At 38.8% G+C, this 14,744-nt stretch overlaps 1 protein-coding gene across 4 annotated transcripts in view; it reads left to right on the forward strand.

Annotated features, from left to right (window-relative positions):
- ENPP3 (ectonucleotide pyrophosphatase/phosphodiesterase 3) overlaps positions 1-14,744 on the forward strand; it is a 110,109-nt gene that overhangs the window by 35,839 nt on the left and 59,526 nt on the right. For 3 of the 4 annotated variants that reach the window (NR_133007.2, NM_005021.5, XM_017010932.2), the window contains 7 exons: positions 1,022-1,141; positions 1,940-2,049; positions 3,596-3,661; positions 4,728-4,800; positions 9,914-10,022; positions 12,224-12,355; positions 12,736-12,767. Coding sequence is in view for 3 of the 4 variants with exons in the window: in NM_005021.5 (NP_005012.2) it covers positions 1,022-1,141; positions 1,940-2,049; positions 3,596-3,661; positions 4,728-4,800; positions 9,914-10,022; positions 12,224-12,355; positions 12,736-12,767 (642 nt within the window). In the remaining variant the exon portion in view is untranslated. Of the gene's footprint in view, positions 1-1,021; positions 1,142-1,184; positions 1,271-1,939; positions 2,050-3,595; positions 3,662-4,727; positions 4,801-9,913; positions 10,023-12,223; positions 12,356-12,735; positions 12,768-14,744 lie in introns of those variants that run through there. The other variant, XM_011535897.2, reaches the window with a different exon arrangement.

The following is a 14,744-nucleotide window of genomic DNA, read 5'->3' on the forward strand; positions in this document are numbered from 1 at the left end:
AGCTATCAGCCTAATGTCACTTATTTGCTGCTGTAAACCATAATAGAACTAGAAAAAATATATATATATACACACTTGGCCCTCCATATGTGTGGGTTCTGAATCCGTGGATTCAACTAACTGTGGATTGAAAATATTTGGGTGGAATCAACCTAAATGCCCATCAATGACAGACTAGATAGAGAAAGTGGTACCTATACACCATGGAATATTATGCAGCCATAAAAAAGCAAGCTCATGTTTTTTGTGGGAACATAAATGGAGCTGGAGACTATCATCCTTAGCAAACTATATACCACACATTCTCACTTATAAGTGGGAGCTAAATGATAGGAACTTATTAACGCAAAGGGGAAACAACAGACACTGGGGTCTGCTTGAGGCAGGAGGGTGGGAGGAGGGAGAGGAGCAGAAAGTATAACTATTGAGTGCTGGCTTAATACCTGGGTGATGAAATAATATGTACAACAAACCCCTATGACACATGTTTACCTAGGTAACAAACCTTCACATGTACCCCCAAACCTAAAATAAAAGTGGAAGAAAGAGAGAAAGAAAAGACAGACAGACAGACAGACAGAAAGAAAGAAAGAAAGAAAATATTTGGAAAAAAATTGCGTCTGTACTGAACATGTACAGACTTTTTTTTGTCACTATTCCCTAAACAATACAACAATGATTGACATAGCATGTATATTGCATTAGCTATTATAAGTAATCTAGAGATGATTAAAATATATAGGAGGGTATGCATAGGTTATATGCAAATCCCAAGCCATTTACTAGCAGGGACTTAAACATCTTCTGATTTTGGTACCTGAGGGAGGTCATGGAACTAATGCCCTATGAAAGCCAAGGGATGACAATATCTCCTGATATGTAAGTTCAGGTCCAGGTGTTTTACATTGAAAGGTATATAGTACCTTTCTTAGGTATGAGTAATAGATCGTGTGCTATTTTAATTTAAATTTCTATTTTACTAATATTTTATCTTACATCTTTTTTGAAATTATCATTTTAGGGCTTGTATCCAGAGTCACATGGCATCATTGACAATAATATGTATGATGTAAATCTCAACAAGAATTTTTCACTTTCTTCAAAGGAACAAAATAATCCAGCCTGGTGGCATGGGCAACCAGTATGTAGCATTCTACACGTCGCAACTGAAGTAACCTCCATTTCTCAGTGTGACAGGAGGACACTCTTCTCACTCAGTGGAGCAAGTTCTATGTCACCCATCTAGTTTCTAAGGGCTGAGGGTGCAAAGGTGTTTTACCACTATTTGTAACTTGAATTTTTAAAACATTTATGGTTGTTAACTCAAATAGGTATGTTTAAACTTGGATATTGGGTTATAAATGTATCCATCTGGAAGTTACTCAGAAAGATTATCTGTTAATGTTTTTCCTCATTTTGTTTTGTAAGTCTTTTTTTTTTTCTTTTTTTTTGAGATGGAGTCTTGCTCTGTCGCCAGGCTGGAGTGCAGTGGTGTGATCTCGGCTTACTGTAACCTCTGCTTCTCAGGTTCAAGCACTTCTGCCTCAGCCTCCCGAGTAGCTGGGACTACAGGCACGCACCACCACGCCCAGCTAATTTTTTTGTATTTTTAGTAGAGATGGGGTTTCACCATGTTGGCCGGGATGATCTCTATCTCCTGACCTCGTGATCCTCCTGCCTCGGCCTCCCAAAGTGCTGGGATTACAGGTTGTAATTCTTTTAAAGGGAGAGAGGAACCATCCAATTTTACCAGTTTGATTGCTACGTTTTTGATTTTTGAGGCAGATTCTTAGATAATTATATCTTTTAATTACTACAAAGATTAAAATTTCAATTTTAATACATGTTGCAACTATTAATCTTGTTTAGTTTCTAGTAAGGTACACCATTTCTACCCAAAGTAATTACTGACTTTCGCTTATCCTAAATTTTCTTACAGATGTGGCTGACAGCAATGTATCAAGGTTTAAAAGCCGCTACCTACTTTTGGCCCGGATCAGAAGTGGCTATAAATGGCTCCTTTCCTTCCATATACATGCCTTACAACGGGTAGTGAAGCACTTTCAGATATTCTCCCAGCTAGGCAGAAATGATCAAGATGTTTTCTGTCTTAATCTTGGTGGCAATTCTATTAATCCAGTTGTTTAAGCCAAAAATCTTGGGAATCACCATTGATTCCTTTCCTTTATGTCACTCAAGCAGTCTCTCAGTAAATGCTTTTGGCTGTAATTAAAAATCTATGTAGCCTGAGAACTTTTTATTACCTCTAGCATTACCACTCTGGTTCGAGCTGTCATCTCTTGCCTGTATTAACTGCAGTTGCCTCTTTACTCATCTCTGCTTCTTATCCTTTATAATCTAGTCTCATCCCACCCACCAGAGGGATTCCTTTAAAATTCAAGTCCAGCCAGGTGCGGTGGCTCATGCCTGTAATCCCAGCAGTTTGGGAGGCTGAGATGGGCTGATCACCTGAGGTCAGGAGTTCAAGACCAGCCTGGTCAACATGGTGAAACCCTGTCTCTACCAGAAGAAAAAATACAAAAATTAGCTGGGCATGGTGGCGCATTACCTCTAATCTTGGCTACTCTGGAGGCTGAGGTGGGAGAATAGCTTGAACCCAGGAGGTGGAGGTTGCAGTGAGCTGAGATCAGGGGCTCCTGCAGTGTAGTCCAGCCTGGGCGACAGAGCGCGACTCCGTCTCAAATGAATAAAATAAAATTAAATAAAATAAAATGCAAGTCCAATTATGGCATTATTTTGCACCAAAAACTTCAATGGCCCCCTGTGTCACTCAGAGTAAAAGCTTACAAGGCCCTGTGTGGCATGACCTCTGGTGTCCCCTTACCTCTCAGACCTCCCCTTCTGCTACTCCCTCGGGTGCTCACTCTGAACTCGTTGGTGGACTTCAACATGCTAGACTTGCTTCTGCTGCAGGACATTGCACTGGCTGTTCACCCTCCCTGAGATGATTTGCTCCATGGATCCGAATGCCTACTCTTTCCCTGCCTTCCAGCTCTGTTGAAAAATTACCTTCTCAATATTGTCTTACCCCAGTTATACTTAAGATTTAAAATTTCAAACCACCTTCATCTCAGTTACTCTGCTCTAGTTTTTTTTTTTTTTTGGTCCACAACATTTATCACCTTTTAATACGCTATATAATTTATTTTTATATTAGGTCTATTGTTTGGTACTTGTCTTCCTGCATTAGAATGTAATCTTTGGTTTCCTCACTGATACATTCTGTTTTGAATGAACAAATAGTATCCAGCAATAAATGTTCAATATATGCATATGCATACATTTTTAAAAATTGAATGAATGGATCATAATCAATTGTCTTTTATTTTAGTTAGGAGAAACTGAAAGAGAGAAGGGTGGGGTGAAATAAAACAATCTACATTTCTTTTATAGTGCCGCAAGTGTATCTATAAACAGAAATCCCTTTGAATAATACTGAATACCTTCCAGTATTGTGATTATATAGGAACACAAAATGGGTAGCTGAAGATATTAAACTTTCTGAATAGGAATGTAATGGAGTTATTCTTGATTTGATTCATTTTAAAGAATTATTTCTACCCTATTTTTTCAGAAGTGTCCCATTTGAAGAGAGGATTTCTACACTGTTAAAATGGCTGGACCTGCCCAAAGCTGAAAGGTAATGTCTAGTGTCAGAAAAGTGCTGGCATAGTGGCATATATATGGGTAAAAAATGAAGTTTTTTTTTTTTTACTTTAAATTACAATTTTTGGCTATTTTCGAAACGACGTGGCATTGCCTTATAATGGACACTTTTCATGAATTATTCCTGGCTGGGCAGGGGGTCTCACTCGTGTAATCTCAGCACTTTGGGAGGTTGAGGCAGGAGGATCACTTGAGCCCAGGAGTCCCGGACCAACCTGGACAACACAGTGAGATACTGTCTCTAAAAAAATGTAAAGAATTAGCTGGGCATGGTGGTACGCAGTTGTAGTCCTAACTACTTGGGAGGCTGAGGTGGAATGATCACTTGAGCCCAGAAGTTTGAGGCTGCAGTGAGTATGATCATGCCACTGCCCTCCAGCCTGGGTGACACAGTGATATCTCTCTCAAAAATAAAAAAAGAAATTATTCCTGGGAGCTAGTAACTTTTTGTTTTCGAAAATGTGGTTGACATTATTGAACAACAGAGATAGAGCCAGCACCAGAGATCAGAGGCAAATATCACAGAACCAGAGCCAGATATGGAATGGAGCAGAGCTGGGAGCAGGCCTGACACTCAGTTATAAGGATAGACTCCAAGAGCACAAGGTGCTCCATCAAGCCCATACCCACAGATTGGAGTGAGGGAAGGCTAATCAGGAGCTCCAGGTAAACAGTGCATCAGAAACCAGACACCAGAAGAAAGAACTTGGTATAACAGAACCAAGAATCAGCAAAAAGTCAGAAACCAGGAAACAGAAAGGACTGGGACACACCAAGAGTGGTCTTAACTGCAAGAACAAAACAGAGTTTCACAATAGGGGCGTACCACTGCTTGTATCTGGGAAGGTCTTATTTATTTCCCGTTAGGAAACCTATCCTTGCTGGAGCCAAGTAGAACTACTGGGTCTGAACAAGGAGGAGGAGGTTAGAGAGAAAGAAAAGGCAATGGCTAGCAAGCCCAAGATCTACAAAATCCCCCAATCCAGCCTGTATGTTTATAGCAAATTGATAATATATTTCTGTTTCAATTTTACCCCTAGACCCAGGTTTTATACCATGTATTTTGAAGAACCTGATTCCTCTGGACATGCAGGTGGACCAGTCAGTGCCAGAGTAAGTTGTTGTTTTCTTAAAAGAAAAAAAAAAATGTAAAATCATCTAACCCTAACCCACAAAACAAGATAGTATTCTTTAACTTCTACTGAGCACAAATGTATTTGATACATACACAAGAAGATCAAAATAGTTAAAGGTATAAAAGGGATGCCATGGTTCAACTGCCTACTTAACCATAAAATAGTTGAAATTCTAGAAAGGACAACTGCCTTATTAACTATATATTGAATCATTTGAAAAGCCCTCATTGAATATTAGATGTGGCACTGTTGTTGCATATAATGAAAACATCAAGGCTAGATACTATACAAGCCAATTCATACTAATGTGGTGCATTTCAGGCTAAGTCACCTGCAAGTCCACTGTGGTATATCCGGCTGTCTACTCCCCGACAGTTCAGTTATAAGTTCCTTATAATTGGATTTAACATGTTATTGCCTCAGGCAGAGTTGTTTCCCTTCTAGGCTCCCATTGTCATTGAAGTGGACTCTCTAATATGAGTTTATTCATTATCTAGGCCATTCTGTTATGATTTTACTACACAAACATAGTCCTTAAATATTGCGTTTAACAAAACAAGCCATTCTGTCTTCTAAACTCCGCTAAAGCCTCTATTGTCTTGGACACAGTGGAAAGATGCAAAGGCTGCCATGAATGTGGCATTTCCCCACCCCATGGAAACTCGTTGACAATTGTCCTCAATTGGAATGCAAGCATATTCGCTCTGGCAGCATGCCTTTGCAATTTCTCAGAAAAGCTTTTTTTAAATTCCTTCCTATTAGGCCAAAATGATTCCTAGTATAGGGACTTACTCAAGCCTCACCACTTTTAAGCCTTGGGCCTCTGTTGTATTCCTGCACAGCGCTAGACTGTATCACAGAATTGTATGCCTTTTCAGGTTACTCTAAGCGTGAACTATCTAAAATATATTCACCATGCCTTCTTTTCCCTTTCTTTCTTTCTCTCTTTCTTTCTTTCTTTCTTTCTTTCTTTCTTTCTTTCTTTCTTTCTTTCTTTCCTTCCTTCCTTCCTTCCTTCCTTCCTTCCTTCCTTCCTTGCTTCCTTCCTTCCTTCCTTCCTTCCTTCTTTCTTTCTTTCTTTCTTTCTTTCTTTCTTTCTTTCTTTCTTTCTTTCTTTCTTTCTTTTCTTCTTTCTTTCTTTCCTTTTTTGAGATGGAGTCTTGCTCTGTCACCCAGGCTGGAATGCAGTGGCGCAATCTCAGCTCTCTGCAACCTCCATGTCCCGGATTCAAGCAGTTCTCCTGTCTCAGCCTCTTGAGTAGCTGGGACTACAGGCATGCGCCACCACGCTAGGCTAATTTTTGTATTTTTAGTAGAGACAGGGTTTCACCATTTTGGCCAGGATGGTCTTGAACTCCTGACCTCAGGTGATCCACCTGCCTCAGCCTCCCAAAGTGTTGGGATTACAGGCATGAACCACTGCACCCAGCCATTCTTTTCTATTTTAACTGTTAGCCGTGTTTGATATGATTTGTCCTTTGAGAAGGGACACTCTATTTGCATTCATTGCACCTTAGGAGCTGACTTGAGATTAGGTACCATGTCCTTTTTTTTTTTTTTTTTTTCCATTCAGTGGTCTAGTTCAAAACCCAAGTACATTTTAAGTATAATTTTGAAAAGTGCTGCAAAGGAAAAGATCGGAGTCCCCCAAGAGATCTATCTAGGCAGTCTCAATCTAGTCTAGAGTAGGGTGCAAATTTGGGCTGGTTAGGAGACTCTCCTCTGAGTGACAAAAAGGAAACAGAATTTGCAAGTGGTCTTATTGAGGAAAGAGCTGTGCACATAGGAGGAACACATAAAATGAACAAATGGTCTGACAAACAAATGGCTAGATGGCTCAGCAAGTAGACAGCGTGATCATGGTAAGAATAATAGTAGCAGCTCACCCTTATTTGTGTTCTGCTGTGCCAGAGCTGTTGGACAAGCTATGAGAATTATCTCCCACCAATGTCTGCAGCATTGTGTAACAGGGAAGAGGGCTAAGAGGAAGCCCAGAGAAGGAGTCAGGCACCAATCCTGCAGGGCCTTGCAGGTCCTTGCAGTCTAGAAAAAGTACAATAAGAAGCATTGAAGCATTGTAATAAAGGAGGTGACAGGACCAGATCTATGTGTATTTAGAGATCACTTTTATTGTGTAAGAGGAATGAGTTGGAGGAAGCAGGGGAAAGTGGGGAGAGACAGGTTAGCTTTCCCAACATTCCAGAAAAGAGATAACAGTGATTTGGACTAAGGTAGAGGCAAACATTGTGGATGGAAGAAGATATAACTGAGATTCTTTTAGGAGATAGACTTGGCATGACTTAATGTGAGTTGGGTGAGGGGGTTGGGGGATCAAGATTGATTTCCTAGTTTCTATCATGTGCCAGCAGGTGGTCCCATTTATATTAATAAGACTGCTAAAGCAGGGTAAGTTTGGGGAGATGCTTGTTTTGCAATTGAGGTGCCTGTGATGTCCAAATGAGGATGTCCAGAAGACAAATAAATGTGGATTTAAAGCTCAAAGGAGGTGAAGATCTGGGATATCGGCAGCATATAGATGGTGCACAGAAGTGGAGATGGCCTAAGGAGAAAGCAAAGAGAGAAAATAGAAGGGTTAGGACCAACTGTCACTTAAAACTTGAGAAGAAGAGGCAAATGAATGGAAGTAGAGATTTTCTGACTTTCTTAATTATTATTGTTAGTTTTAATCGCATACCTTTATTCAGAGTTAATATGACTTATAAATTGACAGTAAAAAGGCGATTTTAGTTTATTTTGGCCCATTCACTAAGTGGAAAACTTATCACTCAAACTTATCAAAGCTACTCAATTGTTGCCCATTATAGGAATTTCTTGTTTCTTTCCTTTGGTTGGGTGAGAGTTGGGAACTGGCATTTCACATTCTATGGAGTGTGTACTTCATGACAGAATCTGGGTTCAAGAAATATGTAATGATTTGGGTTGCATGATCCCTTTCCTGTGAGAACTCATGCTCTCCTTGAGAGGCAGACAGGTACACAGATGATTTCAAAACTGTAAAGAGTCCAATGGCAGCCATATGCCAGGGTGCTGGCAGAGGACAGAAGAGGAGGGGGTTCTTGGTGTGGTTGGGGGAGTGAATCAGATGACTATGTAAAAGGAACGTTATGTCATGACAACAGGTGGAAACAGTAACTCTCGCTGGCAAACCAAAGTGCAGGTCACACTAAGACTGAAGGCCAGGAAAGCATCTTGGAGTTGATGATGGATTGAGCTGTAGATAGAGAGTGGCTTGTGTTCAAGTCCTGCTCTGTCCCTTATTAACTGAAGGACTGTGAACATGTCACTTAACTTCTTTAAACCTCAAGTTTCCTGACCTTTACAACTGACTGTTCTGGTAGCACTTTCCATGAATATTTGCTGTGAGGATTTCAAGAGATAATGCACTAAAGACCTTAACTCTATCAGGCTTGTAAAATTCCTTCTCAAAAAAAGAAAAAGAAGAGGCAATCATTGTTATAATAGTACTCTGAGAGATAAGACATTTCTTTCCCCAATCCATTGCTATTATGCTTTCTTATTCACTGGAAAAAAAAAAACACAGAAAATTTACATCAGTGAAATTTACTTAAACTTTATATTAGTTCCATGATTATATTCATAAAGTGTAGAAAATTAAAAAACACAAAGGCAGTGAGTATAAACAATAAAATAAAAATGAACTCCAATTCTACTATTTAGAGACAACCACTGTCAATAGTACTTTGATATATTTCCTTATAGTTTTCTGTGTATGCATGTTTACTAAGAAATGCTAAATATATTTCAAAACAAAATCAGGATTATGCAATATGTATACAGTTTGGTTTTCATTTTTATTGCTTAACATTGTTTTGTGACTATTTTCCTATGCCATTGTTTTTTGTGGGGGATGGGGAGAGGGAGTTTTACTCTTTCACCCAGACTGGAGTGAAGTGGTGCAATCTTGGCTCACTGCCCCCCTGGGGTTCAAGTGATTCTCCTGCCTCAGCTTCCCTAGTAGCTGGGATTATAGGTGCCTGCCAGCACGCCCAACTAATTTTTGCATTTTTAGTAGAGATGGGGTTTCACCATTTTGGCCAGGCTTGTCTCAAACTCCTGACTTCAGGTGATCCACCTGCCTCAGCCTCCCAAAGTGTTAGGATTACAGGCATGAGCCACCACACCCTGCCCCACTGTTCTTTAAAAGTATCTTTTCATGGATATAGAGTAAGTCTTCTTAAGAATGTGTCATCATTTACTTTTCCTTGTGGCCAAGCGTGTCAGCTCACACCTGTAATTCCAACACTTTGAGAGGCTGAGGCAGGAGGATCACTTGAGCCCAGGAGTTTGAGAACAGCCTGGGAAACTTAATGAGATCGAATCTCTACAAAAAATTAAAGAATTAGCCAGGCATGATGGTGTCCACCTGTGGTGCTAGCTACTCAGGAGGCTGAGACAGGAGGATTGCTTTAGTCCATAAGATCAAAGCTGCAGTGAGCTGTGATTGTGTCACTGTACTCTAGCCTGGGCAACAGAGTAAGACCCTGTCCCTAAAAATAAATAAATAAATAAATTATTTTTCCTTGCATTTAAATTATAAATCAGTAATGTGATGACTGTGTTTGTATGCAAGTCTCCATTTGTACTCCAAGTGTTGACTTAGGACAAATGCCCAGAAGTAGAATCGTTGAGTTGCAGATGCTCTTTTTAACTCCCTGGAAACCTATTGTCACATGACCCTCTGGAATGTATGTGACCCTTAGGCTGTCTTAGAAGTATCTGTCCACTCTTCTTTCTAACTGAGAGCATCGCTATGAAAATTTTTACAGTTGAATAGTGTTAGTTGACATTCAACATGGTTTCATGTATTTATTGGCCAGCAGTCTATCTTCCTTTGTAGGAAGTATGATTTAGATTTTTGTTTATAGAAATTTAGGGAATTGGTATTTGATGAATATGGTAGCATGGGTGCTAGTGCTGGGCTCTGAGGTTCTGTTTCAAAACCAGCAATTTCAGAGATGGAGATGTGTTTAATTTTTACTTCATTAGATAACGGTTTGGCTAATTAAGACAACTCATTACGACAATCTTAACTCCAAATTATTTTTCAGGTAATTAAAGCCTTACAGGTAGTAGATCATGCTTTTGGGATGTTGATGGAAGGCCTGAAGCAGCGGAATTTGCACAACTGTGTCAATATCATCCTTCTGGCTGACCATGGTATGCTTTTAAAAAACATTCTTATTTTATCATTGACTATAATTTATCACTTCAGAAATCATACACAAATAATAGTGATATTTTAAAATCTCTACTTCCAGACCTAAAGTCTCTTGAAGAAGCAAGGAATGAATTGTGGTAGAATGTGATGAAAAGAGGACTACATTAAATTTTCTAGTTTAATTATTCTGATACCCCTGAAAACCTACCCACAGACACTATGTTTTGTAAAAGTAGAGTTAATGATATTTAACAGGGATGTGGTTGGGTTTTTATTCAATCTAAAAAGTGCTTTGGGACCTTCTTTCCAGCCATGATTCGTTTATGTAGATTGGCTGCAGTTTACTGTAATTGGCAAGTTTTGCCACACCGTGTGTATTTTTTTTTAGTTATGTAAATAGATGTGTGTTTATTCATAGCTTTTCATCTTTAAAGTTACTGTCACCTCACATTTCTCTACTTGAGGTTAACTCTTGATTTTGGTTAACCTGAATGTTAAAGGAAGTGAAACAGTGGAGACACCCTCTGCCACCTCACGCAAAATGCATTCAAACAGTTTTGAAGTACATATGCACTCACTCTACAGGTTTTTTTTTTTTTTTTTTTGAGATAGAGTCTCGCTCTGTCACCCAGGCTGGAATGCAGTGGCCCGATCTTGGCTCACTGCAAGCTCTGCCTCCCGAGTTCATGCCATTCTCCTGCCTCAACCTCTTGAGTAGCTGGGGTTACAGGCGCCCACCACCACGCCTGGCTAATTTTTTTGTATTTTTAGTAGCGATGGGGTTTCACCGTGTTAGCCCGGTTAGTCTCAATCTCCTGACTTTGTGATCCGCCCACCTCGGCCTCCCAAAGTGCTGGGATTACAGGAGTGCGCCACCGGGCCTGTCCTCTACAGATATTTTTTTAAGTGCCTACTCAATGATAGGTACTTTCCTAGATATGGAGTAGATCCTTCCTAGCTAGGGTGGTCAAACTGTCTTCTTGAGGAGGACGTTTAAAGTCAAGCCCCAATATCTGTGAAGAGACCAGCCATGGGGCATGAGGAAGAAAAATAGTGTGTCTGCAGAACTTTTGGTCGTATTTTAGAGCATCCAGATAATGGGAAACATAGTAATGTATTTTTAAAATTTCTAAGGTAGTTCTCTAACACTTTGCCTTATTGTTTTAAAATTAAATGGAAACTTTTGATGTACATTTTGTTAAAAGAAATTAATGAAAATAATAATTTATATGCAAGCCAGGCACCATGGCTCAGGCCTGTAATCCCCGCACTTTAGGAGGCTGAGGTGGGTGGATCACCTGAGGTCAGGAGTTCGAGACCAGCCTGGCCAATATGGTGAAACCCCATCTCTACTAAAACTACAAAATTAGCCAGGTGTGGTGGCACATGCCTGTAGCCCCAGCTACTTGGGAGGCTGAGACAGGAGAATCACTTGAACCCGGGAAGTGGAGGCTGCAGTGCAGTGAAGCGAGATCACACCACTGCACTATAGCCTGGGCAACAGAGCAAGACTCTGTCTCAAAAAAAAAAAAAATTCATGTGCAGTCTGAAAAATCTTCAAATAAAAAAGGTTAACTACCAAATCTTTTTATAGCACGTACTCCTTATATAAATTTAAATTACTTTATACTTTTTTTTTGAGACAGAATTTTGTTCTGTCACTTAGGCAGGAGTGCAGTGGCACAATCTCGGCTCACTGCAACTGCCACCTTCGAGGTTCAAATGATTCTCGTGCCTTAGCCTCTCGAGTAAATGGGACTATAGGGGCATGCCACCATGCCTGGCTAACGTTTGTATTTTTTGGTAGGGATGGGGTTTATCATGTTGGCTAGGCTGGTCTTGAACTCCTGGCCTCAAGTGAGTTCCCCCCTCAGCCTCCCAAAGTGTTAGGATTACAGGTGTGAGCCACGGAGCACAGCCGAAATAATATACTTTTAAAGGTAAAGGTTATTTCCATTAATCTATTATACATTGAACAAATGATCTGTTTATGATACCCATCTGTTCTTCCCTCAAACATGACCCTTCTCCACTGCCACAATTTTCTGCCAGAGTAGAGTAATAGGGTGAATTGCGTAAATTCTCAGTGAAGCTTAGTTTGAGATCTGTAACATAAAATGTCTTCTATTTGACAAGACAGAAATCAACCGTTGCCATTTATATACATTCAGTGGGTTATTATGATTATTTTTTTATTCAGGAATGGACCAGACTTATTGTAACAAGATGGAATACATGACTGATTATTTTCCCAGAATAAACTTCTTCTACATGTACGAAGGGCCTGCCCCCCGCATCCGAGCTCATAATATACCTCATGACTTTTTTAGTTGTAAGTATGAAGACACCTATATGAAAAAAAGGGTAAACCTGAAAGTGAATAACCATAGTCCACTAATTCTGAGAGGAAGTTGGGGTTATCAGACCCTCTACTGACTTCTTGAGAAGACCACAGAGAAACAAGTGGGAAATTCCCATGCTTAAGTACAGTCTATAAAGTCTATGGTAATATCTAATATTGTTAGGTTGAAATATATCCTACTCAGTTCTAAATGCTAAAATAATTCTTTGCTTGAAATAATTTTTAATATAATTTTACCAGATCACAGTTATTAATAAGTGAATGTATCAAATTCACCTGAGTGGTTCACATTCTTTGCATTTGTTCGTTATCAATTGTAATGTCATTTATTTCTTTTTCTTTTGAAACAGTTAATTCTGAGGAAATTGTTAGAAACCTCAGTGTAAGTATACAATACTCTTAATACATATATTTAAGTTAATGCAATGACCTTAATCTGGGTTTTTGAGAAATTCATATTGTATATTTCTAAATCTAAGCTACTTGGAATTTATTTCTAAACCTTCCATCAACATTATTTTATATGCATATTAGTTGCTTTTATCTTAGTTGTTTTCATTTTGGAGCTGACACATCCACAGAAATTAGCTTGCAGTAATAGTAGCACTAAATACTGGCTTATATTGAAAGGGCTGATGTCCCATTCAAAAGGGTTGCATTAGTGAGCTTCAGGTAGCATCGTCTTTCTCATTTTTTGTGTGACTAATATAAGAGGATAGTGAATTATACCTCTTACAGATCTTTTTTTTACAAGTCAAAAAGATAATCTCTTTACTCACTAAGTATAATTGCAACTGCTTTCGATTGGTTCCCACATCCCAAATTGTAAGTAAATGAGTAGAGAAACTTCCAGATATCTTAAAGCAATATTTTTGGAAGTACAATTCACTACTCCTGGAGAGACCTGGAATGGTCTTCTGTAATAGTTTTGTTATTTATTTATTTATATTTATTTTACCTTTACAATGTTTGCCTTTATTAACTTTTTTTAAAAAATTCAACTTTCATGTTAGATACAGAGGGTACATGTGCAGATTTGTTACATGGGAATATTGTGTGAGTCTGAGGTTTGGAATATGGAACCTATCATCCTGGTAGTAAGCATTGTACCCAATAAGTAGTTTTTTAACCCATACACCTCCTCTTCCCTCTAGTAGTCCACAGTGTCTATTGTTCCCATACTTATGTTCACGTGTGTTCAATGTTTAGCTCCCACTTATAAGTGACAACATGCAGTATTTGGTTTTCTGTTCCTGCATTAATTTGCTTAGGATTATGGCCTCCAGCTCCATTCATGGTGCTGCAAAGGACATGATTTCATTCTTTTTTTATGGCTGCATAGTATTCTATGATGTATATGTACCACATTTTCTTTATCCAATATACCATTGTTGAGCACCTGGGTTGATTCCATGTCTTTGCTATTGTGAATAATGCAGCAATACACATATGAGTTTATGTGTCTTTTTGGTAGAATGTTTTATTTTGGTGGAGGGGTATATCCCCAGTAATGGGATTGCTGGGTAGAATGGTATCTCTGTTTTAAGTTCTTTGAGAAATCTCTAGACTGCTTTCCACAGTGGCTGGACTAATTTATACTTCCATCAACAGTATATAAGTGTTCCTTTCTCTGCAGCCTCACCATAGCGTCTATTGTTTTTTGACTTTTTAGCGGTGGCCATTCTGACTAGTGTGAGATGGTATCTCATTGTGGTTTTGATTTGCTGACAAAAACAAGCAATTGGGAAATAACATAATAAACGGTGCTGGGATAACTAGCCAGCCACATGAACATTGAAGCTGGACCCCTACCTTTTGCCATATATAAAAATTAACTCAAAATGGATTAAAGATTTAAATATAAGACCTCAAACTATAAAAATCCTGGAAGGCAACCTAGGAAATACTCTTCTTGACATGGGTCTTGGCAAATAATTTTTGGCTAAGTCCCCAAAAGCAATTACAACAAAACAAAAAATAGGTGAGACCTAATTAAACTAAGAGCTTCTGTATAGCCAAAGAAACTATCAACAGAGCAAACAGCCTACAGAATGGGAGGAGATATTCACAAACTACAACAAAGGCCTAATATCCAGAATCTATAGGGAATTTAAACAAATCAACAAGCAAAAAACAAATAACCCCATTAAAAAGTGAGCAAAACAAATGAACAGACACTTCTCAAAAGAAGACATACAAGTAGCCAGCAAACATGTTAAAAAATACTCAGCTTCACTAATTCTCAGAAAAATGTAAACCAAAACCACAATGGAATAGTTTTTATAGTTATATATTTAAAATATATTCACAAATATTTATCTACTACATGAAATTCATGACTTCACTATTGTTTGCAATG

Source organism: Homo sapiens, chromosome 6 (assembly GCF_000001405.40).
Source record: "Homo sapiens chromosome 6, GRCh38.p14 Primary Assembly".
Classification (NCBI taxonomy): domain Eukaryota; kingdom Metazoa; phylum Chordata; class Mammalia; order Primates; family Hominidae; genus Homo; species Homo sapiens.